The following is a 25,504-nucleotide window of genomic DNA, read 5'->3' as shown; positions in this document are numbered from 1 at the left end:
CAATCCCAGAGAAGCGTTGATTAGCTGTGCTAGGGCTCCATGCCCATCCCTGTATCCAGAGGGACATGTTCTACAACTTCGTGCAAATTAAAAACAACACATTTTTGAGGAGGACAGTAGAGTATGCTGGGCAAACTAAATAAATAAAAATAAATAAACCAAAGTCCACTGCAGGTTACAAAGCCGTGCTTCCTTTATTACCTTGGAGTGCTGCTTTGAAATGTTGGTGTAAGGAACAGCATTTATAGCAGCCAATGACCCATCTATAATGGCAGGTCCTCCTTAGTCTCCTGGAGACAGAGACTGGTGCATCAAAGGGACTTCTGGCTAGTTTCTTTCTTTTCTTTCTTCCTTTCCTTCCTTTCATTCTCTCTTTGTTTTCTTTTTCTTTTTCTTTTTTTTTTTTTTGAGATGGAGTCTCACTCTCTTGCCCAGGCTGGAGTGCAGTGGAGTGATTTTGGCTCACTGCAACCTCTGCCTCCTGGGTTCAAGCAGTTCTCCTGCCTCAGCCTCCTGAGTAGCTGGGATTACAGGCATGCGCCACCACACCCAGCTCATTTTTTGTATTTTTAGTAGAGATAGGGTTTCATTGTGTTGGCCAGGCTGGTCTCGAACTCCTAACCTCAGGTGATCCACCCGCCTTGGCATCCCAAAGTGTAGGGATTACAGGCATGAGCCACCGTGCCCAGGCCTCTTTCTTTTCCTCCCTCCCTCCCTCCATTCTTTCTGTCTCTCTCTCTCCTTCCTTCCCTCCCTCCCTCTCTCTTTCTCTTTCTCTCTCTCTTTCTTTCTCTTTCTTCTCTCTCTTTCTTTCCCCTCCCTCCCTCCGTTCTTTCTCTCTCTCTTTCCTTCCTTCCCTCCCTCCCTTTCTTTCTCTTTCTCTTTTTTTCTCTTTCTTCTCTCTTTCTCTCTCTTTCTTTCTTTCTTTCTTTCTTTTCCCTCCTTCCTTCCCTCCCTTCCTTCCCTCCTTCTCTCTCTTTCTCTCTCTCTCTCCCTTTCTTTCATTTTGATACAATGTCTCACTGTCACCCAGGCTGGAGTATAGTGGCATGCTCACAGCTCACTGCAGCCTTGACCTCCTGGACTCAAGTGATTCTCCCACCTCAGCCTCCTAGTAACTGGGAATACAAGCACACACCACCATGCCTGGCTATTTATTTATTTTTTTAATTTCTTGTAGACACAGGGTCTTATCATGTTGTCCAGGCTGGTCTTAAACTCCTGGGCTCAAGCAATCCTCCCACCCTCGGCCTCCCAAGTGCTGGGACTACAGGCATAAGCCACTGTGCCCAGCCTTGGGTAGTTTCTTATGACAATTGTTTTCCTCCACGAGGTCAAACACCTAGTTTGTATATTCACTGCTGTACTCGCATGGACTTAGCACAATGTCTGGCATATAGTACGTACTCAAAAATATTTGTTGAGTGAATGTAAGGATTTGCAGCACAGTTGACTCAAAGGCATATTGACAATAACTGAGCATATACTAAATGTGTCAGAAACTAAGGATGCAAAGATTTTTTTAAAAAAGCAAACCTGCTCCCTGCCTATGACAGCCCACCAGAGGAGGCAGTTACTTAAGTAAGTCATTGATATAAAATCATACACATAATAAATGAAGCTTGAACAAAGTGCTACAAAAATGGTCACATGATCTCTAAGATGATGGAGTAAGTCCAAAAGAGTTCAAATGTTTTCAGGGTTTTGATATTTAGCCATGTTCTTTTTTTTTTTTTTTTTTTGAGAAGGAGTTTCACTCTTGTTGCCTAGGCTGGAGTGCAATGGAATGATCTTGGTTCACTGTATCCTCTGCCTACTGGGTTCAAACGATTCTCCTGCCTCAGCCTCCCAAATAGCTGGGATTACAGGCATGCGCCACCATGGCCGGCTAATTTTTTATTTTTAGTAGAAAAGGTTTCACCATGTTGGTCAGGATGGTCTTGAACTCCTGACCTCAGGTGATCCACCTGACTCAGCCTCCCAAAGTGCTGTGATTACAGGCGTGAACCATGGCGCCTGGCCTAGCAACATTCTTAAAATCAGATATATACATATAGAAAAGTCTAGGCCGGGTGTGATGGCTGACACCTGTAATCCCAGCATCTTGGGAGACTGAGGTGGGAGGATTTTGTGAGCCCAGGACTTACAGACCAGCCTGAGCAACACAGTGAGACTCTATCTCTACAAAAAAATTAAAAATTAGCCACATGTGGTGGTGCATTCCTGTGGTCCCAGCTATTCGGGAGGCTGAGGTGGGAGGATCGCTTGAGCACAGGAGGTGGAGGCTACAGTAAGCTGTGATCATGCCACCGCACTCCAGCCTGGGCCACAGAGTGAGACCCTGGCTCCAAAAAACAAAACAGAACAAAACAAAAAACCCAATAACGATTGATGAGGATTGTAGTGAGTTGGAAACGGCATGCCCTAAATAAAGGTGGCTTATTTATTTATTTATGAGACAGAGTCTCACTCTGTCGTCCAGGCTAGAGTGCAGTGGTAATCATAGGTCACTGCAGCCTTGAACTCCTGGGCTCAAGGTATCCTCCGGCCTCAGCCTCCCAAGTAGCTGGGATTACAGGTGCATCCCAGCACACCTGGCTAATTTTTGTATTTTTAGTAGAGACAGGGTTTCACCATGTTGGCCAGGCATGTGTCAAACTCCTGGCCTCAAAGTGATCCACCCACCTCTGCCTCCCAAGGTGCTGGGATTATAGGCATGAGCCGCCACCTCCAGCCTATTTATTTATTTATTTTTGAGATGGAGTTTTTGCTCTGTTGCCCAGGCTGGAGTGCAGTGGCATGACCTCGGCTCACTACAACCTCTGCCTCCTGGGTTCAACCGATCCTCCTGCCTCAGCCCCCCGAGTAGCTGGGATTACAGGCACCCCCCACCATGCCTGGCTAATTTTTATATTTTTAATAGAGACAGGGTTTCACCATGTTGCCCAGGCTGGTCTCGAGCTCCTGACCTCAAGTGATCTGCCTGCCTTGGCCTCCCAAAATGTTGGGATTACAGGCATGAGCCATTGCACCTGGCCAAAGGCAGCTTATGCTGTGCATATCCAGTCAGTTGTTACCATCTAGGAATAAATCATGTTACCAAATTTTCAAATTTTTCAAGTGAAGCTGGAAATGTAGTTCTTTGTTGGCAGAAATATCCTAATTTTTAAGTGTTGGCAAACACCATGCAAAGCAAATAAAATATATCTAATGAGCCGCATTTAGTTTAGATTGCAACTTCAGTTTGCAACTTCTGGCTTAGAAATTCATCCCTTTTGGTCCCCAGCACCTAGAACAGTGCCTTAAATATAGCAGGAGCTTAGCACAGTGTTACTGAATAAATGAATCAATGGCTTGAAAGTCTTACCAATTTACAGTAAAATTGTTATTTAGGATTTTGTAAAATTACTTTCCTCTTTCCATTCATTAAGTGTTCCTACTCAGGATTTTAAGGTTGAATACTAGTTTATTCCACACAGACCCTTTGTCAAACCTTATTTATGGTATACACATATGCAAAAATATCCTAAAGAGCTGGGAGATTGTAAGTATGCTTTTTCATTAATAGAGTGAGGCATAAAAATAAACCGAGGCAAAGAAAGAGGTTAAGTGAGTATTAAATTCCTGGCAAAAGCCAGCTTCTCCTTTCACAAATAAAAGATAGTTATATAATAATTATGTATGGTAACTAAAACATACAGAGTTCTCAAGATAGGAAAGCTTGTATTACAAGATATCAATGTCTTCTTTTTTGATAGCATCATTTAGCTTATACATATCTGCCTTCTTTTTTGTTTTTGTGAACTAATAATGCATATTCATTCATTATTCATTAAACAAATAGCGATTGAGAAAACAAAAACCAGGCATGAGGCTGCATGCAGTGGCCCATGCCTTTAATCGTAGCAATTTGGGAGGCTGAGGCAGGAGGATCACTTGAGTCCAGGAGTTCGAGACCAGCCTGGACAACATCGCAAGACCTCGTGTCTACAAAAAATAAAAAAATTAGCCATGCATCCAGGCACAGTGGCTCAGGCCTGTAATCCCAGCACTTTTGGAGGCGGAGATGGGCGGGTCACCTGAGGTCAGGAGTTCAACCAGTTCAAGACCAGCCGGGCCAACATGGTGAAACCCCATCTCTACAAACAATACAAAAATTAGCCGGGCGTGGTGGTGCGTGCCTGTAGTTCCAGCTACTCGGGAGGCTGAGGCAGGAGAATTGCTTGAACCCGGGAGGTAGAGATTGTAGTGAGCCGAAATCGAGCGACTGTACTCCAGACTGGGCGACAGAGCAAGACTCCGTATCGGGAAAAAAAAAAAAAAAAAATTAGCCATGCATGGTGGCACAAGCCTGTAGTCTCAACTACTCGTGAGGCTGAGGTGGGAGGATTGCTTGAGCCTGGCATTCCTGAGGGCGAGGGGGTCTCCTGCCCTGCTCATGTCTAATTACCTACTTTAACTGGAGGCTGAGGTTGCAGTGAGCCGTGAGCGTGCCACTGCAGTCCAGCCTCGGTAGCAGAATGAGAGAGAGAGAAAGTATAATTTAAACAAACATAAAAATGGGCACAAGGCAGGCCGGGCGCGGTGGCTCACGCCTGTAATCCCAGCACTTTGGGAGGCCGAGGCGGGAGGATCACGAGGTCAGGAGATTGAGACCATCCTGGCTAACACGGTGACACCCCGTCTCTACTAAAAATACAAAAAATTAGCCGGGCGTGGTGGCCGATGCCTGTAGTCCCAGCTACTCGGTAGGCTGAAGCAGGAGAATGGCGTGAACCAGGGAGGTAGAGCTTGCAGTGAGCAGAGATCGCGCCACTGCACTCCAGCCTGGGCGACAGAGGAGACTCCGTCTCAAAACAAAACAAAACAAAACAAAAGGCACAAGGCACAGTGTGTGCATGTGGATAGCCAAAGTTGAATGGTATGTGGTTTTTCTTTCAAGGGACATAAAGACTAATAGGGATACCAGATCATTAATAATAATTCAGGGTATAGAGAACTAAGTGTCTTGGGAGAGGTACAGATGAACGGAAGGGGAATTGTGAAAAATCAGGTTCAAAATGTTGGCTGGGGATTGCTTTTGGAGGGCTTTGAAATGCAGAGTATAGATTTTGTAGTTTATTAGGTAGGAAACTGACTCAGCACATGGAGGTGATGTTGCTAATGTTCTATTTCACGTAAGGATACACGACCACTGGCAACCTGATCTGGCTGTCTGCAAATGGCATTTGTGAAACGCTGAAGAAAAATCTCATGTTCCTATCTTTAAAAAGACAGAGTTAAACTCCTAAACATTTGAGTTTAAAAGTAACATAATAAATACATACTTTAAGGGTGCAAATTTAATTTCGGTACTTTTAAACACAATCATTTAAACATTCTATTTGAACTATTTTCAAATTACATGAACAAGCCAGGCGCGCTGCCTGTAGTCCCAGCTTCTCGGGAAGGCGGGAGGATCGCTCGAGCCCAGGATTTGGGAGGGTGCAGTGCTCTTTGAGGGCGTCTACGAATAACCACTGCCCTCCAGTCTTGGTAACATAGCGAGATATCGTCTCAAACAACAACAACGACAACCACCACCACCACCACCAACAACAACAACCAACAACAAAAAAACCACTTTGGGAGCTCCTCAGTCCCTTCAGCCCCGACCCCAAGCATCGACTTCCCCTCCCATCCGGTCCCTGTCCACGTAGCCTGGGAACCTGCTCCCACTCGGCAAAAGTTTCTGTAGGGAGTCAGTCTTTTGGTGCACCCCTCCCCGCACTCTTGTACATTCTGACTGGCTGTCGCTCTCCCATGTGCTCTGACAGACTGCTCTGATTGGTTAACAAATGCCGCGAGCACGCGGATGTCTGTTTCCTGGGATATTGTGAGGGCGGGCGGAGATGTAGACCCGGTAGTGTTGTGCCTTGTGGTGACAACTGGCGGCAGCGCGCCGCGGGCCCGAGACTTAGTCTCGGGCCGCCATGGCCAGCGTCCACGAGAGCCTCTACTTCAATCCCATGATGACCAATGGGGTTGTGCACGCCAATGTGTTCGGCATCAAGGACTGGGTGACGCCGTACAAGATCGCGGTGCTGGTGCTGCTGAACGAGATGAGCCGCACAGGCGAGGGCGCCGTCAGCCTCATGGAGCGGCGGAGGCTCAACCAGCTGCTCCTGCCCCTGCTGCAGGTGAGAGGCGCCCGCTGGCTCCTGCTCGTGCAGCAAACTTTTACTGAGCATCTGCTCTGTGCGGAACCCTGGGCTTGGGGACACTCGTGTCCATCAGATACTCTCCCTGCCTGGAGGAACGTGAAGAAATAAAGATAGCTACTACCGGTAGCTAACACGTACTGAGCGTTTACGGTGGGCCAGGCGCTTTACATGCATTTTTTTTTTTTGCAAGTTCATGTCTGGCTCCAGTATTTATTAGCTGAGAGTTAGAGTCTCAGATCCTGTATCTTCTTTAAAATGGGGCTATACAATAGAGCGTTGGAGACACAGGGATAAGTCATACAGGCTCCCTATCCTAGAGGACCGTAATAAACAGTAAAAATGCCATAAAACCGGGCCGGGCGCAGTGGCTCACGCCTATAATCTCCGCACTTTGGGAGGGTAAGGCGGGTGGATCACGAGGTCAGGAGTTCGAGACCAGCCTGACCAACGTAGTGAAACCCCGTCTCTACTAAAAACACAAAAAATTAGCTGGACGTGGTGGCGGGCACCTGTAATTTCAGCTACTCGGGAGGCTGAGGCAGGAGAATCGCTAGAACCTGGGAAGCGGAGGTTGCAGTGAGCCGAGATCGCGCCACTGCACTCCAGCTTGGGCGACAGTGCAAGACTCCGTTTCAAAAAAAAAAAAGGCATAAAGCCAAGGACGAGCACTGATTGAATACTTAACTGTGTGCTAAGCACTTTACTTAAAATTTGTTTTAAATTATTATTATTTTTTTGAGACAGGGTCTCGCTTTGTCGCCCAGGCTGGAGTGCAGTAGTGTGATCGCGGCTCACTGCAGCCTCGACCTCTCAGGCTCAGGTGATCCTCCCACCTCAGCCTCCCAAGTAGCTGGGAGTACAGGCGCGGGTCACTACGCCCAGCTAATTTTTTTGCATTTTTTGTAGAGACGGGATTTTGCCATGTTACCCAGGCTGGCCGGGAACTCCTGGACTCAAGCAATCCTCCCGTCTGGTCTCCCAGAGTATTGGGATTACAGGAGTGAGCCACTGCGCCCGGCCGTCATGTGTTATTTCATTTTGCAGACACAGGTTTAGCTCAGATAATTAAGTTCCTTAATTCATTTGGGTCTCAGTTTTCTCTCTGTAAAATGGGAACAATAGTAGAAACTGTTACTAGCATGTAGTAAATGCTCAATATTACTAGAATTTTCATTTTAGTGTGTTCACATATGGCATATACCTTCCCCTATATCAGTTGTGGTTTTTCCATTTATATTCATGGTTACGTGAGTGATGGCCTTCTCTCCCATTAGACGGTAACCTCCACCAGCTCAGTACTTAGTCCTGTTTTTGTTTACTGGTACATCCCCAAAGCCTCCTAGAATGCCTGAGTAGTTTTTTGTAAAATGAATGAAATGCGATAGAGGTGGATGAGTGCACTCATGGAGAGGATTTTTTTTTTTTTTTTGAGACGGAGTCTCGCTCCGTCGCTCAGGCCAGAGTGCAGTGGCACGATCACGGCTCACTGCAGGCTCCGCCTCCCGGGTTCACGCCATTCTCCTGCCTCAGCCTCCGGAGTAGCTGGGACTATAGGCTCCCGCCACCACGCCCGGCTAATTTTTTGTATTTTTAGTAGAGACGGGGTTTCACCGTGTTAGCCGGGATGGTCTCGATCTCCAGACCTCGTGATCTGTCCGCCTCGGCCTCCCAAAGTGCTGGGATTACAGGCATGAGCCACCGCGCCCGGCCCGAGGATTTCTTACAGAAAGTGTGAAGCTGTGCCTTGATGGATAAGCATTGTCTGTTGAGTAACAGTGATGGCAGAAACAGATCTGGGTCCCTGGGCCTCTATATTATGGGATCTTAAAAGATAAACCTAATAAAATTAGTGTCTAGAGTTGCATTTATATTCCTTAGTATAGTTTATAAAGGCTTTTTTAAAAAATTTATCACTTGTATTTGTGGGTGAGGGGCATGGGAAGAGGGGAGAACTGAGGACACCATGGTCAAGAGACCTACCCAGTTAAATAAAAGGGATGTCTTTATAACTTGTGGCTCCCAGGGCTAGCCACGTCTGCTATTACTATAAATGCATTTCCCTCCATTATTAAAGTTATAATACTAAAATTTTGGTAAATAAAAGGCCGGGTGGGATCACACCTGTAACCCCGGCACTTTGGGAGGCTGAGGTGGGTGGATCACTTGAGGTCAGGAGTTCGAGACCAGCCTGGCCAACACAGTGAAACCCCATCTCTACTAAAAATACAAAAAAAAATTAGCCGGGCATTGTGATGTGCGCCTGTAGTCCCAGCTACTCGGGAGGCTGAGGCAGGAAATCATTTGAACCCAGGAGGTGGAGGTTGCAGTGAGCTGAGATCACATCACTGCACTCCAGCCTGGGCATCCGTCTCCAAAAAAAAAAAAAAAATAGAAACAGTGATTCTGGTCTCTTAACTCTCACCTTCCTGCTCATGTTGTTTTTTGCTGTTTGGAATTCTTTCTGGTTTTTAACCTGGCTAACTACTATATAGTTATTTTATTTAATTTTTTATTTTTAAATTTATTTTTTTTTTAATTTTTTTAGAGTGGTGGGATCTCACTCCCTCAGTCACCTGGGCTGGAGTGCCGTGGTGCGATCCTAGCTTACCATAGCCTCCACCTCCCAGGCTCAAGCTGTCCTCCTACCTCAGTCTTCTAAGTAGCTAGGACTACAGGCACCTGCCACCATGCCTGGCTAATTTTTAAATTTTGGTAGAGATGTAGTCTCCCTATGTTGCTCAGGCTAGTCTTGAACTCCTGGGCTCAAGGGATCCACCTGCCTCAGCTTCCCAAAGTGCTGGCATTACAGGCATGAGCCACCACACCTGGCCCCCTACTGTATAGTTTTAATCAAAATGTATGTAGAGTTCATCTAGTAGCATCCCAGCCAGACCTCAACTCCTTTACTAACTGTTTGATTTCTTAAATTAGTTAATTTTTGGCTTGGTGCCTAGACTTTGGGAGGCCAACGTGGGAGGATCACTTGAGCCTAGGAGTTCAAGAGCAGCCTGGGCATGGGATTTCACCATGTTGTCCAGGCTGGTCTCGAACTCCTGACCTCAAGTAATCTGCCTGCTTCAGCCTCCCAAGGCGCTGGTATTACAGGCGTGAGCCACTGCGCCAGGCCCCAAATGGTCTTTTTAATGGCTGCATTATATTTCACAGTAAGAAAAGCAACATAATTCAACTCTGTATTATAAATTAAGTCTTTATTGGACTTACAGGCTCCTTTCAGTTTTTCTTCATTTCAAACAATGTATGCCAAAATAACTTCCCTAGAAGTGCAATTGCTGGGTTATCCACATCTAAAGTTGGCATATATGCAGTCATCTTATTCTCTGAAAAAGAGTCTAAATTTAGTTTTAAATCTCAACTAGACTGTAATCTTCTTGGTAGCTGAGGTTGCATACTCTTTATTCCTTGTGGTACTCTTTTTTTTTTATTGGAGACGGAGTCTTGCTCTGTCGCCCAGGCTGGAGTGCAATGGCGTGATCTTGGCTCACTGCAACCTCCACCTGCCAGGTTCAAGCCATTCTCCCGCCTCAGCCTCCCAAGTAGCTGGGACTACAGGTGTGTGCCACCATGCCTGGCTAATTTTTGTGTTTTTAGTAGAGACGGGGTTTTGCCATGTTGGCCAGGCTGGTCTTGAACTCCTGGCTTCAGGTGATCTGCCCACCTTGGCCTCCCAAAATGTTGGGATTATAGGCATGAGCCACTGTGCCCGGCCTCTCGTCATACTCTTTATAGACTTCAGCACATAGTATGTCTGCCTACCTTACAAGGTTTGGGAGAAGATCAAATGAGATTGTGTTTGTGAAAAATAGTATTTGTATAGTGTTTTCCAGTTTACAAAGCACTTTGTATTATCTTATTTAATCTTTGCCAAAAACAAGGGAGATATTATTATCTCCATTTTACTGATGAAGGAAACTAGAACTCAGAGGTCACAATTTTGCAATGATTACAAAGCTAAGAAGGAAGGAACAGTGGATCCTCAGACTATAAATCCTATGCTTTTTTTCTATTTTAGACCATTCCACTGACTAGACAAAAATGGTATGCAAATGTGAAGTATTACTTTAGTGTTTTAGGTAGATAGAAAAATCCTTATTTGCATGTTTGGAGTGATTATTAAAGCAGAGGGGTTGATAAATGAATTTATGTTTGCAATTCTTTATCAGTCTCCAGCTCTTTAAAATCCATACCTCCCTATCTCTCCTTTACACAGGGCCCAGATATTACACTGTCAAAACTTTACAAGTTAATTGAAGAGTCTTGTCCACAGCTGGCAAATTCAGTGCAGATCAGGTAAACTTCATTTTCTTCTTTATATATGAAAAGGTGTGAAGGTAGATGAAAATCACAAAAGGGTATGTGGTAGTTAATTCTTTTAAAAAGATACCTTTATTACCCTAGGTTGTTTTCCCAAGAGCCTTTACTTAATTCTGTTTTGTTGAAAAATGGATAGCTTTTTCTTTGGAGACAGGGTCTCATTCTGTTGCCCAGGCTGGAGTACAATGGTGCAATCAGGGCTCAACGCAGCCTGGACTTCCTGAGCTCAGGTGATCTTCCCACCTCAGACTCCCAAGTAGCTGGGACTACAAGCATACACCACCAAACCTGGCTAATTTTTTGTATTTTTAGTAGAGATGGGATTTTGCTTTGTTGCCTAGGCTGGTCTTGAACTCCTGGGCTCAAGCAATCCCTCCGCTTCCACCTCGCAAAGTGCTGGGATTACAAGTGTGAGCAACCGCACCTGGCTGAAAAATGGGTAACATTAAGCATACTGTTTTATAGCTTTTTTCCCCAAATTTTATTATTCCTTATGGATCCATCTTACTCTTTTTAGTCATTGCAGATAATTGAATGTTTATTGGTTGATGTGATAGTTTGACAAATTTTATGATCAAGAAAACAACAATGATACTTTTCAGAAATACGGGAGTAACATTTTGAATTATGAAGTTTGTTTTATGAGCCACCATTTTATACAAATCTCTGAATTGCCTGTAAAATACATTATTTGAGGTAATTGAGGAATATGAAACATGAGAAATTATTCAAAGGGCCTTTCTAAAATATGCACCTCGATTTTCTCATTCAGAATCAAACTGATGGCTGAAGGCGAGTTGAAGGATATGGAACAGTTTTTTGATGACCTTTCAGATTCTTTCTCTGGAACTGAACCAGAGGTTCACAAAACAAGTGTAGTAGGTATGAAACTCTTCTAAGAAGAGCAGAGAGTATTTTCATTGAAGTGAGCAGCTTTCTAAGTCATGTCTATCATTGTTCTGCTATATCTGTGAACAGACACAGTGGGGATGTTGGAGGTGTTGCAGTTTGTATTTATTGCCTTACTGTTTTGATCTATATTTAAATCATTAACTGTGGAAAAGCACCTTCTGTTTTGTCTACAATAGTAAGAGTCAGAGCCTGGTCCTGGGGTTTTTAGGGGTTCCCAGCTCTTTCTCACAGTCCTCTGGATCACTTGCCTGCATGGTCCATCTGTAAGTGAGGGTCACCAGCCCAGACTTATGAAGAGAGGTAAGTAAAAATACATTATTGATATAGTATGCAAAGTGAGGGCATACGTGGTGTTTCTTTGATGCTTTTCTATTAGCTTTATCCCATGCTCTATCCCTCTGGCTTTTTTGCATGGTAATTTTTATGTTATTCAGCGTGAGCTATTTCTCTCTCTCTTCCTATGTGCCAGGCTCTGGACGTGTAAGATAGACATGGAATTTCCTCTTATGGAGATTACCTCTGGTTGGGGGAGCCAGTTGGTAAAAGTAAACACATAAATATCATTTCAGATAGTGTAACAGCCATGAAGAAAGTAAAATGGAAGCCTTCAGGTGGAGGTGGGGTGGGTAGATTGTGCCCTGTATAAGAAGAAACCAGCTTTGTAAAGGACTGGGGAAGAACATTCCAGGAGGAGGGAATGGCAACTGCAAGTGTCTCTTTCTTACTCTTCTGAAGGAAGAATTCCAGCAGACAGTCATTGCCATTGTGGAGTTGCCATTGCGTAGCCTGGATGTCAGTTAATGCTTTCCCCTTGTCTCTCGTCTTATTTTGTAGGTTTGTTTCTGCGTCACATGATCTTGGCCTACAGTAAGCTTTCTTTCAGCCAAGTGTTTAAACTGTACACTGCCCTTCAGCAGTACTTCCAGAATGGTGAGAAAAAGACAGTGGAGGATGCTGATATGGAACTGACCAGTAGAGATGAGGGTGAAAGAAAAATGGAAAAAGAAGAACTTGATGTATCTGTAAGGTAATTTGGCTTTTCTGACAGGGATCCTTTTCCTGTGAAATAGTATAATTTCAAGTGCAATAAGTCCTTGTTCATTTAGAATTCACGTGCTGGCTTATGCCCTTTTTACCCTTCCAGATCTGGGAAGTTAACTGATAAGGGCTGCACCAGTGGGTCCCTTGCCCTCTGACTTGTGATTGGCCAATGGGAGGCACTGGCAGGAAATCCCAAGGGCCAGGGAGAATGACGTGGAGTGTGGATTCATTGGCTCCCTTTCTTGGGGGTCCTGGGGGGCTGGCTGTAGGGTCACAGCTTCTGTCAGGTCGCTCTTTCTGCACTCCTTCAGGGGGTTCGGTGACTAGGAGCAAGTGTTTGCAGGCCCCAGGTGAAAGGTACCCCACTGTTATCAGTCCTGGGGACTGTATTGTGTCTTATGACTTCTCTGTCCTTTCCCCTACTTTTGTCAATTGATCCTTTGTTAAACTCTTCTCAGACTACTCAATTTGAATGTGTTCTTTGTTTTCTGCTGGGTCCCTGACTGGTATTGTTCATCACATCAGAGTGAAGTAACACTTGATTAATTCAGTGAAAATTTATTGAATGCCTTCTAAGGTCTAGCCTCTAAGGAAGCTGTTGTAAGGAAGTTACTCACTTAGTTGGTCAAGCCCAAAATGCAGTAGTATCCTTGATTCCTCCCTGTCCTTCACCCCAGTCCCTCAGCAGATCCAGTCAGTCCTTCCTCCCTGCTATGTTTGGAACTTGTTCACTTATCTCATAGCCACTGCTACCCCTGGAGTCTAAGCACCCAATCTCTACCAAATCTACTCACCAAATCTGCACTAGCATCACTTTTCTCCTTGACTTAACTCCTGTCTCCCTACATCTGTTCTTCAGGCAGCATCTGGGGAAGCCCCTAAGAATATTAATCAGATCCCAGCACTTTTCTGCCTAAACCCTTTGGAACTTAGAGAGGAGTTTGAGCTTACCATGGCCTCAGTGCCTGTATAACCTGGCCCAATGAACTTCCCTGACCTCTTTCTCTTTATTTTCTCCTTCACTCTCAGCATAGTGACTGCTCTGACTTTATCCTTCAGTTTCTTGACTACTCCAATCAGTTTCTACCTCAGGTTGCCTAGAATGCTCTTCCCTGGCTTTTCACCTCATGTGCTCCCTTTCACCTTTCAGATCACAGCTCAACTTTCCTCAGACGGGCCTCCCTGACCACGAGGTAGCGCCTATCCCAAATACTTTCTTTTTCTTTCTTTTTTTTTTTTTTTTGAGATCAAGTCTCACTGTCACCCAGCCTGGAGTGCAATGGCACAATCTTGACTCACTGCAACCTCCACCTCCTGGGTTCAAGTGATTCTCCTGCCTCCACCTCCCAACCAAGTAGCTGGGATTACAGGTGCCCACCAGCACACCCGCTAATATTTTTGTATTTTTAGTAGAGATGGGGTTTCACTGTGTTGGCCAGGCTGGTCTCAAATTCCTGACCTCAGGTGATCCACCCGCCTTGGCCTCCCAAAGTGCTGGGATTACAGGCGTGAGCCACCGCACTCGGCCCCAAATACTTTCTATTTCTTTATTCCTCCATACCTCTCATTACTAAGTAACCTTCTTAATTTACTTGCTTGCTTGCTTATCTGTTTCCCCTGCCTCTTCACCCCTTGAGAACTGAGACCCTTCTCTGTCTTGTTTGATCACATTTCCCCAGTGTTTAGTAGAGTGCCTGACTCATAGAATGTGTTCTGTACCTGAATGTTGGATGAATCAATATATAGTCCATCACCCATACTGGTAACTGGCCCAGTAACACACTTTGTATTAACTGTCCTTCCTTTTGCTGTTTTACTTCTCCTTCCCTAACTACTGTTATCTGAGATTGCTTCCAAATAAACTACTTGTACTTGCAGGCAAAAAGATATGTATGTATTTCATATTCCCTGATGTCAAAGAGCCTGTGATCTGGTGAGGAAGGCTGACAAGTAAACAGATACACTGTCCAGAGCTCTGAGAGAATTAAGCCCCACCTGCCCTAAGGAGGTGGTCAAGGGACCTTATCATTTCCTGGGAGCTTATTATTTACTGCATTGCAGGCTGTTAGGCTACTGTAATCCCCAGGGTGGCAGGGGGTGACATTGTTTATAAATGGGGAATGCTTATCGCACTTTCTATGAGTAGTTTTTGTACTGTTAAATGATTTGTTCAGCACATATTGAGAGCAAGAGGATAATAGTACCATTAACTGCTCCCCAAAACTCATTTCCTTACAAATGCTTCTTGTCTGGTGGAAAGACAACATAGTGTGGAGTTAAGAGTCTGGCTCTGCAGTCAGATCCCCAGGTTGGCCTGCTGCTCCTCTGCCTTTGGTCTCTGAGACCTTGGGCAAGTTATTCACCCTTTCTGTGCTTTGAGCTCTTTATCTGCAAAATGGGGCTCATACCCCTTCCCCAGAGGGTTGTCAGAATTAAATGATAAATTCATATAAAGTATTCAGAACTGTGCCTAGAAATGTTAACTATTATTATTCTCTACTTTCTCTTTTAGTTAGTTGCCCTCAGAAATGCTTCTAGGCTACAGTGTAATCCTTTTTCTAGCTACTTTATATGCTTAAAGTAGCAAAGTGTCACTTCTGCAGAAATGTTAAAATTCAGACTTTTCTTATTTGGGTTGGTTTTCTCTTAACTTGATTTATTTAGGTCTAACTCCATCTTTTTGTTTTTATCTTATTCTAAGAAGTCATTTATGTATAATCCAATATATTTTCTATAAAGGTATATGGTTTCAGAAAATCATGCATATTTAGTAAACTGAATTTCATCGTGAAAATTGAAGAAATGTATTCTTTATATTTAAATCTAACTAATGATTATAATTCTTTGTCTAAAAGAAATTACTTTGTTAGAGAACCTTTTTATTTTATAGGATGTACTTACATGTATTTCTTAGTTCTTTTTTAAAGGAAAATTTCAATTGTTTTCTTTTTGTGATCTTTTCTTTTTGAGATGAAGTCTCGCTCTGCCGCCAGGCTGGAGTGCAGTGGCGTGATCTTGGCTCGCTGCAACCTCCACCTCCCGGGATCAAACAATTTTTCTGCCTCAGCCTCCTGAGTAGCTGGGACTACAGGCACGCACTACCACACTTGGCTAATTTTTTGTATTTTAGTAGAGACAGGTTTTCACCATGTTGGTCAGGATGGTCTTGATCTCTTGACCTTGTGATCCACCTGCCTTGGCCTCCCAAAGTGCTGGGATTACAGGTGTGAGCCACCGCGCTTGGCCTCCTCGATGTTTTCTTCTAAGAGTTTTTAATTTTTTTTATTTAAAAATGTATTATTTATTTTTTATTACTAGCAGGTGGAAGGAAGATCTTCTAAGAGTTTTACGGTTTTTGGCCTCACATTGAGGTCTTTGAGTCCTTGGCCTCACATTGAGGTCTTTGAGTCCTTGTGAGTTAATTTTTGAATATGGTGTTAGATAAGGATCCACCTTCATGCTTTTGCATGTGGATGTGCAGTTTTCCCAGCATCATTGGTTGGAAAGGCTGTCCTTTCCCTATCAAATGGTCTTGGCACTGTTGCCAAAAACCATTTGACCATGCATGCCAGGGCTTCTTTATGGGCTCTGTGCATTGATCTCAACATCACTTTTTATGTTTTTCTTTCCTAGTTCTGAGGAGAGAGTTAAATTTTTTGAACTCTTTCGATACAAGAATCCATCTGATTTTATAAATGTTATCATTTTTACTTTTGTGTAATTCTTTACTATTTTTGTTTTTTTATTTTTTCCAGAGAAGAGGAGGTATCTTGCAGTGGGCCTCTGTCCCAAAAACAAGCAGAATTTTTTCTTTCTCAACAGGTATGTGAATTCTGTAATTTATCATGAACTTCTGTTCTAGTCCTGTGATGTGTCTAGTCCTGTGATGTGTGTTGTGGCATAGGCCCGTTATGTGCATAGGTTTGTTGGTCAGTCTGTGTCAGCCTTTACTCTTGGTCCCCTCTGCCTCACTAACGAAGCACTTGTAGCTCTGTGCCCCTTCCTATTTTGTGTGTGATTTTATTTTTCTATTAAAGTTATAATCCAGGTTTCATTTAGTAATGGTATGTGACTAACAGCCTAAAACCCTGTGATTTAACCCTTCTCTCAACATTTTATTATAGACATTTGCAAACATAAAGAGAGCCTGAAAAGCAGTGTATGGTAATTACCCATACCTATTACCTCGATTCTACAATTAATATTTTTGTTCTATTTATTACTTATCTAACCACTCTCTATTCAGCCACCATTTCATCTTATTTTTTGATATATATTTCCAGTTGCAGATATTAATACACTTTGCTCCAAACACTTCTCTCTTTTTTTGTTGTTTTTGAGACAGAGTCTTACTCTGTTGCCCAGGCTAGAGCATTGCCCAGGCTGGAGTGCAGTGGCATGATCTCGGGTCCCTGCTACCTCTGCCTCCTGGGTTAAAGCTATTCTTATGCATCAGACTCCCAAATAGCTGGGATTACAGGCGTGCACCACCACACTTGGCTAATTTTTGTATCTTTAGTAGAGATGGGGTTTCACCACATTGGCCAGGCTGGTCTTGAACTCTCGATCTAAGGTGATCCACCTGCCTTGGCTTCCCAAAGTGCTGGGATTACAGACATGAACCAGCGTGCCCCAAACATTTCTTTTTTGTTTCTTTTTTTTGAGACGGAGTCTCACTCTGTCACTGAGGCTGGAGTGCAGTGGCATAATCTCAGCTCACCGACACCTCTGCCTCCCGAAGTGCTGGGATTACAGGTGTGAGCCACCACGCCCAGCCCAAACATTTCTTATGGATGCTTTTCAGCCATATTTTTTCATTTTCTTGGAAACATAATCTGAACATTTTTCTGTGTTATTTTCAGCATAGAATTTTTAGTTTTTGCTCTATTTTTCTACTTTTCCCTAATTTTGTTATGAGCTTTCTGCAGAAAGATGTAATGTTTATATCTAGACAAAAGTGATGGAGGCTGGGCATGGTGGCTCACGCCTGTAATCCCAGCACTTTGGGAGGCTGAGGCAGGCGGATCACAAGGTCAGGTGTTTGAGAGCAGCCTGACCAACATGGTGAAACCCTGTTTCTGCTAAAAAAAACACACACACAAAAATTAGCCGGGTGTGGTGATGCCCGTCTGTAATCCCAGCTACTCGGGAGGCTGAGGCAGGAGAATCGCTTGAACCCGGGAGGTGGAGGTTGCGGTGAGCGGAGGTTGCAGTGAGCCAAGATTGCGCTACTGCACTCTGGCCTGGGTGACAAAGTGAGACTCCGTCTCAAAAAAAAAAAAAAAAATTTACGGAATTACCTCTGCAGATGAATTTCAAACAGATTAGAAAAACCTGTCTATGTGATTGGTTAACTGTAAGGAAAAAGTACAGCTGGATCCTTCCTTACCTTACCTTGTACCTCAGTATATTACAGATGGATTACAGGGTTAAATGTAAATATTTACAGCTTTAGTTAGATAATTAGGCTAGAATGAGCTACACATTGTTGGTTTTTTTTTTTTTTTTGAGATGGAGTTTTGCTTTTGTTGCCCAGGCTGGAGTGCGGTGGTGATCTCAGCTCACTGCAACCTCTGCCTCCCGGGTTCAAGCGATTCTCCTGCCTCAGCCTCCTAAGTAGCTGGGATTAGAGGTGCCTGCCACCACAGCTGCCTAATTTTTTGTGTTTTTAGTAGAGACGGGATTTTGCCATGTTGGGCAGGCTGGTCTCAAACACCTGACCTCAGGTGATCTGCCCACCTCGGCGTCCCAAAGTGCTGGGATTACAGGCGTGAGCCACTGCGCCTGGCCAGAGCTTTCTAACATAAAAGCTATGGAATACTTCAGAGGCTGAGGCAGGAGAATCGCTTGAACCTGGGGAGTGGAGGTTACAGTGAGCCGAGATCACACCACTGCACTCCAGCCTGGGCCACAAGAACGACACTCCATCTGGGAAAAAAAAAAAAAAAAAAAAAAACTGGAAGAAAACATGTAGGAGAAGATAATTTGATTTTCAGAATAAAAATTGAAAGCATCTCCATGTCAGGACTTGTTTTAACATAATTAACAGGCAAACAGGATGGGCGTGGCAGCTCATGCCTGTAATCCCAGCAATCTGGAAGGCCAAGGCGGGTGGATCATTTGAGGTCAGGAGTTCGAGACCAGCCTGACCAACATGGTGAAACCCCGTCTCTATTAAAACACAAAAACTAGCTGATGTGGTGGCATGTGCCTGTCGTCCCAGCTACTTGGGAGGCTGAAGCAGAAGAATCGCTTGAACCCATGAGGCGGAGTTTGCAGTGAGCCAAGATTTCGCCACTGTACTTCAGCTTGTGCGACAGAGCGAGACTCCTTCTCAAAAAGAAATAAAATTAAAAAATTAAAAGGCAAATAACAAAGGTGTTCTTGGGCTCCAATACTTTGGGAAAAAGTATTTACAATAAATATGACAGTGAAAGTTTAGATTTTGGTTTTGGTTTAGAAATCACATTTTCAGGCCGGGCACAGTGGCTCATGCCTATAATCCCAGCACTTTGGGAGGCAGAGGCAGGTGGATCACCTGAGGTCAGGAGTTTGAGACCACCCTGGCCAACATGGAGAAGCACTGTCTCTACTGAAAATACAAAAAATTAGCCAGATGTGATGGTGGATGCTTGTAATCCCAGCTACTTGGGATTCAAGAAGAATCACTTGAACCTGAGAGGTGGAGGTTGCAGTGAGCCAAGATTGTGCCACTGCACTCCAGCCTTGGCGACAGAGCAAGACTCTGTCTCAAAAAAAAAAAAAAAAAAGAAAAAAAAGTCATATTTGATGATGAGACAAAGTTTACAATATAAAATGAAAAGAACAGGAAATAAAGTTACATATCATATTCTGATTTTGTTAAAAATATAATGTGTATATACACATTATATAAATTTGGAATACACCCTGTATTATAAACATATATTGTGATTTTGTTAAAAATGTAATGTATACACAATATATGTTTACAATACAGGGTATATTGTAAATTTATATAATATGTATACACATATTTTTAACAAAATCAGAATATGATATGTAACATATATACACACATACAGAACAAAGACTAGGATAATATACACTAAAGTATTAATAGCGTTATTTCTGGGTAGTGAGATTGCAGAAGATTTTTGTTTTCTTCTGTAGGTTTTCTATATTTTTGGAATAATTTTTCCCCATACTACACCTACATAATAATTTGTTTTTTGTTTTGTTTTGTTTTGTTTTTTTGAGACTGAGTCTTGCCCTGTCACCCAGGCTGGAGTGCAGTGGCGTGATTTCGGCTCACTGTAATCTCTGCCTCCCGAGTTCAAGTGATTCTCCTGCCTCAGCCTCCCGAGTAGCTAGGATTACAGGTGTGCGCCACCACACCCGGCTAATGTTTTGTATCTTTAGTAGAGACAGGGTTTCACTATGTTGGCCAGGCTGGTCTCCAACTCCTGACCTCATGATCTGCCCTCCTCGGCCTCCCAAAGTGCTGGGATTACAGGTGTGAGCCACCACGCCTGGCCAATAATTTTCTATAATGACATAAATTAACAATGGAATTAGAAATTATTTTTACTTTAAAAAAATTTTTTTTAAAGAAATTATTATTTTTAAATAGAGATGAGGTCTCAGTATATTGCCCAGGTTGTTCTTGAACTCCTGGGCTCAAGCGATACTCATGCCTCAGCCTCTGCCTCCCAAAGTGCTGGGATTACAGGCATCAACCACCACACCCTGCCCTTAGAAATTATTTTACTTATAGAAAAACTCATCTAGGTAAAATTGGAGTTAAGTGTCTATAACCCAGTTAAATGTAAACATTTAATTTGTAGCTAACTTTCTACATATTTTATATAATTGTTGCTGATATCGTCCATATGAAACAAATAAGTAGAGCTGGGGCAAGCCACCTGGCTCCCATAAGGCCCCATACAGGCACTGGAAATACAAGAAGCAAACACATTACCTGCCTGGAAGGAGCTTACAGTCTGGGGTGGGGTCAGATTGGCAATTTTACTATAGTTTGATAGTGCCACAGGGGGGGTAAGTGCAGAGGGCTTATGGGAGCATGGAGGGGCTTATAGGATCTCACCTTCATCTAGAAGGTGACAGAAGCAGGTGGCCCAGAGGATGAGCTAGGCATGGGCGTCGGTTTGCTCAGCTTTGGGTAGTATATGGCTGGGGAGCGATGGGTGGGAGGCTTGGTGTTTCTGGAAGAGGAAACAGTGTTGTAGATGGTCAAGAGGAGAGCATGTGGCAGGGTCCACCTTCAGTGTTACCTAGAGTGAGGGAAGGCCAGCCAAGGCTGGCGAGATGAGGGGCCAGAGCCTGAAGGGACCCCTGTAGAAAAGAAAATAATCAGGTGATGCTAGTTAGTATATCTTTTCATATGTTTATTGACCCTTTCTTTCTACTGAGTTACCATTTTTAAATTTCAGGCTTCTTTGCTAAAGAATGATGAGACTAAGGCCCTCACTCCAGCTTCCTTGCAGAAGGAATTAAACAATTTGTTGAAATTTAATCCTGATTTTGCTGAAGCGGTAAGTCTTTCCCAGAATTTGTTGCTGTGTTGGAAAGGAATGACAAGGCAACTTTTTTTGTTTGTTTGTTTTTGGAAACAGAGTCTTACTCTGTTGCCAGGCTGGAGTGCAGTGGCACGACCTTGGCTCACTGCAACCTCCGACTCCCTGGTTCAAGTGATTCTCCTGCCTCAGCCTCCCAGGTAGCTGGGATTACAGGCACGTGCCACCACGCCCAGCTAATTTTTGTATTTTTAGTAGAGATGGGGTTTCACCATGTTGGCCAGGATGGTCTTGATCTCCTGACCTCATGATCTGCCCGCGTCGGCCTCCCAAAGTGTTGGGATTACAGGCGTGAGCCACTGCGCCTGGCCAAGGCTACTTTTTATATTGAGTAGCTGTGCAAATGAGAATCAGCCCATTGGCCCAGGTTCTTGAAGGAAATCGTGTTCTTGGTAGGCAAACAACTCGGTATAGGTTGCAAAGCTCCTCCCTCCCTCCTCGGGCCATAGGCGATTTCTTCTTACTCTTGATGTTCTCTTTCAGTCATCATCCTCCTGATGTTGTAAAGTTTGGACTGGAGATAATATACTAGACTGATGCAAAAAACAGTGTTTGTTTGTTTGTTTTGGAGACTGAGTTTCGCTCTTGTTGCCCAGGCTGGCGTGCAGTGGTGCGATCTTGGCTCACTGCAACCTCTGCCTCCCGGGTTCTCAGTGATTCTCCTGCCTCAGCCTCTCGAGTAGCTGGGAGTACAGGCACACGCCACAATGCTCAGCTAATTTTTTGTATTTTTAGTAGAGACGGGGTTTCACCATGTTGGCCAGGCTGGTCTCGAACTCCTGACCTCAGGTGATCCACCCTCCTCGGCCTCCCAAAGTGCTGGGATTACAGGCATGAGCCATCACGCCCAGCCTAAATGACAGTTTTGAGGCTGAAAAACTCTTTTCCTTTCTCTTCTTTTGTCAGTGTTTATTTTTAAAGTTCTAATAATTCCATTCCTTAATGGATTTTTTACTCGGAAAATTTTCTTAAATAGTATTTGGATTTTCCATCTGACTTTGGGTGCAGAAATATATCTATTTTGCTTCCTAGTAACTGAGATCTGCCTGTTAGGGAAGTTTCAGTGATTAAAAAAAAAATGAAAATAATTAACTTAGTAAACTAGTAAGTCTCAGTGTGTTTTAACTTGTACATTAATAAAACTTAATTTTATAATTTGTATATGAATTCAGGTTTTAGGATCTTTAATTCTGAACACTCAGTTTTCCTCAATATTTGAACTAGGTAAGGCCCAGTATTCTCATCTATCACTCATGTAACCAGTGGCATAGTGGAGTATATTTGAGATAAAACTGACACAAATACTAATGGAACTCCCATTTTTAATTTGTGGACTCCCTCTAGGGGGAATGTGTCTTGAAGCTGTTTTATTCTGCCTCTAGGGAGAAGATTAAGCTAAACTATGACCATCTTATTAGAAGGGTATGGGATACACTAGTGTTTGTAGACAGTGGAACTCTCTGCAGTTGTCTTACACCAGAGATATTTACAGCGTTTAAAATACATTGATTATTTCTTGTTTTAGCATTATCTCAGCTACTTAAACAACCTCCGTGTCCAAGATGTTTTCAGTTCAACACACAGTCTCCTCCATTATTTTGATCGTCTGATTCTTACCGGAGCCGAAAGCAAAAGTAATGGGGAAGAGGGCTATGGCCGGAGCTTGAGATACGCCGCTCTGAATCTTGCCGCCCTGCACTGCCGCTTCGGTCACTAGTAAGTTTATAGACCTTTGTCCTTGCGCAAATTGAAGGAACCGATGACAATAAAAAGTCTGCTGTTTGGCCTGGTGCGGTGGCTCACGCCTATAGTCCCAGCACTTTGGGAGGCCAAGGCGGGTGGATCACGTGAGGTCAGGAGTTCAAGACCAGCCTGGCCAAAATGGTGAAACCCCATCTCTACTAAAAATACAAAAATTAGCCAGGTGTGGTGGCAGGCACCTGTAGTCCCAGCTACTCAGGAGACTGAGGCAGGAGAATCGCTTGAACCCGGGAGGTGGAGGTTGCAGTGAGCCGAGAGCACGCCATTGCACTCCAGCCTGGGCAACAAGAGTGAAACTCCGTCTCAAAAAAAAAGAAAAAATAAATAAAGATTTGCTATTTTGGGAGAAAAGAAAAGGGAAAAGAAATGGAAGAAATGAATTCTCAAATGTTAATTGTGATGCATTTTTAAAAAATGTATTTTTTAAAAAGAAGATAGGAAAGCAGCTCATCAACCTGGACTAGTCAGTAACTTCCATAGAGGGAACCTTATTGGCACTGGAACAGTTTATGAAAACCTTCTGCCTAAATAGTCTGCCCCCTAGTGTCACTATGTAACATTGCCGTCTTAGTGCCTAGCCTCTTTCATTACTTCTAAGAACAACAGGCCGTTCAGTGAAAAAGAAATTAGGTCATTAGGCCAGAGAGTCCCTAAAGGATTTTTTGGAGGTAAAAATGGGGATGCAGAAGCTATTTTTAGTATTTCAAAAAGCCAGAAGGCAGTTGTACCTTTACTGGATGAAAGACTACATAGGCTTACTGAAAGTCAGGTTTGCTTTCAGGTAGAATTCAGGCTGCTCAGTCAGGTGACACTGGTTTATACTGTTGCCTCAGTGTGCCTCTGTTTTTAATGAATAGAAATAGGAAAATCGATCAATTATGTTTTAGTAAATAGAATTAAGTAGATAAAACAACTTTCAAAACATGGAGGCTATCTTGGAAATAATGAAATAATGTAAATAATGGTGAAAGGTGGGAAATTACTAATTCAAAGATCCCTTCACCCCCCCACCTGCCCTGTGGCTTTTTACCAGTTGAGAGAAGTGTGGTCTTTGCTACAGGCATCCTTCTATACAGACTATAGCGTGTATTAATGGGAGCATAGTGTTCACAGTTCAATAATGGAGACATCTATCCCTTTCTCTGTGTCAGGCAGCACCTAGGGAATTCTTTTTATCTCTGGTTGTCAGGTTTTTGTTTTTGTTTTTAAGAGACAAGGTCTCACTCAGTCACCCAGGCTGGAGTGCAGTAGTATGATCATAGCTAACTGTAACCTCAAACTCATGGGCTCAAGCAAGCAGTCCATCTCAGCCTCCTAGCTGTGACTACAGGCATGCACCACAATGCCCAGCTAATTTTTTTAAAAATTATTTTTTGTAGAGGTAGGATCTTGCTTTGTTACCCAGGCTGGTTTCAAACTCCTGGCTTCCAGCAATCCTCCCACCTTGGCCTTCCAAAGTGCTGGGATTACAAGCATGAGCCACTGGGCCAACCCAGTTGTGAGGCTTTAAAAGGGATGTAGACAAGCTGAAGCTTGTGTGGGGAGGGAACAGTCTCAGGGTGTTGAGACATTCAAAGCCATATCATATAAGTAATGTGGGAGGGATGTGAGACATGTTTAGCCTGGAAAAAAATGACTTATCCAAGCATGTGTTTGACATCTTCATGTAGTGAAAAGTCATGTGAAAAGAGCTTAGATTGATTGAGGGTATGGCTACGGGAGAAGATTGAGAGCTGGTAAGTAAGTGTAGGTTAAAGGACAAAATATTTCTGCTCATTATAAGGAAACAGTTTCCCCTTATTGAACCCTCTGAGGAAGGTGTCAGTGAGGTGCTGAGGCCTAGACCAAAGATGTTATTAAGGGTATTCAAACATCAGATTGATAGTTGTACCCAAAAATATTTAAGGCTCCTCAAAACTCCATGATTTTTGCAACATTCCATGATATCTTGTAATAACTAACTTCTTTTGGTCTTCCCACATTTAATAACCTCTCGATCAGAGCCTTTCTTTTTTTATGTACTCAAAAATAATAGAAATGCCATTTTTAATATTTACCAATAACCTATTTAACTTAGTAAGGAACTGCTTCCCCTGGGGGTTAGAAATTTGTACACAGCCTTCTGGATACAAATAATCTTTATTTAATTAATTAATTTATTTGTTTTTTGAGATGGAGTCTTGCTCTGTTGCCCAGGCTGGAGTGCAGTGGCTCGATCTCGACTCACTGCCATCTCGCCACCTGGGTTCAGGTAAAAAATTCTCCTGTCTCAGCTTCCCGAGTAGCTGGGACTACAGGTGCATGCCACCATGCCCAACTAATTTTTGTATTTTTAGTAGAGATGGGATTTCACCATATCGGTCAGGATGGTCTCGAACTCCTGACCTCAGGTGATCCACCTGCCTCGGCCTCCCAAAGTGCTGGGATTACAGGCGTGAGCCACTGCGCCCGGCCACAAATAATATTTTGATGAACAGAATTTCTTCTTTTTATTTTTAAAAATATAGAGACAAGGTTTTGCTATGTTGCCCAGGTTGTTCTTGAACGCCTGGTCTCAAGTGATCCTCCCACCTTGGCCTCCCAAAGTGCTGGGATTATAGGCATAAGCTACTGCACCCATCTCAGAATTTGTCTATGTTTACAATATTATCAATGGGTAGACAGCTAATTGCACAGAAT

General features: G+C 43.5%; 1 protein-coding gene across 3 annotated transcripts in view, besides 5 other annotated features; it reads left to right on the top strand.

Annotated features, from left to right (window-relative positions):
- The window catches only part of ANAPC5 (anaphase promoting complex subunit 5), a 45,965-nt gene continuing 24,564 nt past the window's right edge, over positions 4,104–25,504 (top strand). For 2 of the 3 annotated variants that reach the window (NM_001330489.2, NM_016237.5), the window contains exons 1-7: positions 5,902–6,179; positions 10,432–10,511; positions 11,308–11,417; positions 12,282–12,474; positions 16,244–16,310; positions 20,921–21,022; positions 22,590–22,780. In NM_001330489.2, coding sequence (NP_001317418.1) covers positions 5,973–6,179; positions 10,432–10,511; positions 11,308–11,417; positions 12,282–12,474; positions 16,244–16,310; positions 20,921–21,022; positions 22,590–22,780 — 950 coding nt within the window. In that variant the 5' untranslated portion in view covers positions 5,902–5,972. Of the gene's footprint in view, positions 4,211–5,901; positions 6,180–10,431; positions 10,512–11,307; positions 11,418–12,281; positions 12,475–16,243; positions 16,311–20,920; positions 21,023–22,589; positions 22,781–25,504 lie in introns of those variants that run through there. The other variant, NM_001137559.1, reaches the window with a different exon arrangement.
- Positions 4,126–4,799: an enhancer, noted in NCBI's record as "H3K4me1 hESC enhancer chr12:121791317-121791990 (GRCh37/hg19 assembly coordinates)". NCBI's record gives its function as "activates a minimal SCP1, AML or CMV promoter by ChIP-STARR-seq in naive and primed H9 embryonic stem cells {active_cell/tissue: H9 hESC(naive and primed)}" and the evidence as "EXISTENCE:reporter gene assay evidence [ECO:0000049][PMID:30033119]".
- Positions 4,800–5,475: an enhancer, noted in NCBI's record as "H3K27ac-H3K4me1 hESC enhancer chr12:121790641-121791316 (GRCh37/hg19 assembly coordinates)". NCBI's record gives its function as "activates a minimal SCP1, AML or CMV promoter by ChIP-STARR-seq in naive and primed H9 embryonic stem cells {active_cell/tissue: H9 hESC(naive and primed)}" and the evidence as "EXISTENCE:reporter gene assay evidence [ECO:0000049][PMID:30033119]".
- Positions 5,900–6,159: an enhancer, noted in NCBI's record as "active region_7162". NCBI's record gives its function as "activates an Ori minimal core promoter by ATAC-STARR-seq in GM12878 lymphoblastoid cells {active_cell/tissue: GM12878}" and the evidence as "EXISTENCE:reporter gene assay evidence [ECO:0000049][PMID:35858748]".
- Positions 6,152–6,827: an enhancer, noted in NCBI's record as "H3K27ac hESC enhancer chr12:121789289-121789964 (GRCh37/hg19 assembly coordinates)". NCBI's record gives its function as "activates a minimal SCP1, AML or CMV promoter by ChIP-STARR-seq in primed H9 embryonic stem cells {active_cell/tissue: H9 hESC(primed)}" and the evidence as "EXISTENCE:reporter gene assay evidence [ECO:0000049][PMID:30033119]".
- Positions 22,717–22,908: a silencer, noted in NCBI's record as "fragment chr12:121773208-121773399 (GRCh37/hg19 assembly coordinates)". NCBI's record gives its function as "represses an EF-1alpha promoter that drives an FKBP-Casp9 reporter gene in an ReSE screen in K562 erythroleukemia cells {active_cell/tissue: K562}" and the evidence as "EXISTENCE:reporter gene assay evidence [ECO:0000049][PMID:32094911]".

Source organism: Homo sapiens, chromosome 12 (assembly GCF_000001405.40).
Source record: "Homo sapiens chromosome 12, GRCh38.p14 Primary Assembly".
Taxonomy (NCBI): Eukaryota; Metazoa; Chordata; class Mammalia; order Primates; family Hominidae; genus Homo; species Homo sapiens.
The sequence above is the reverse complement of the archived record's forward strand: the minus strand, read 5'-3'. Positions and strand labels throughout refer to the sequence as shown.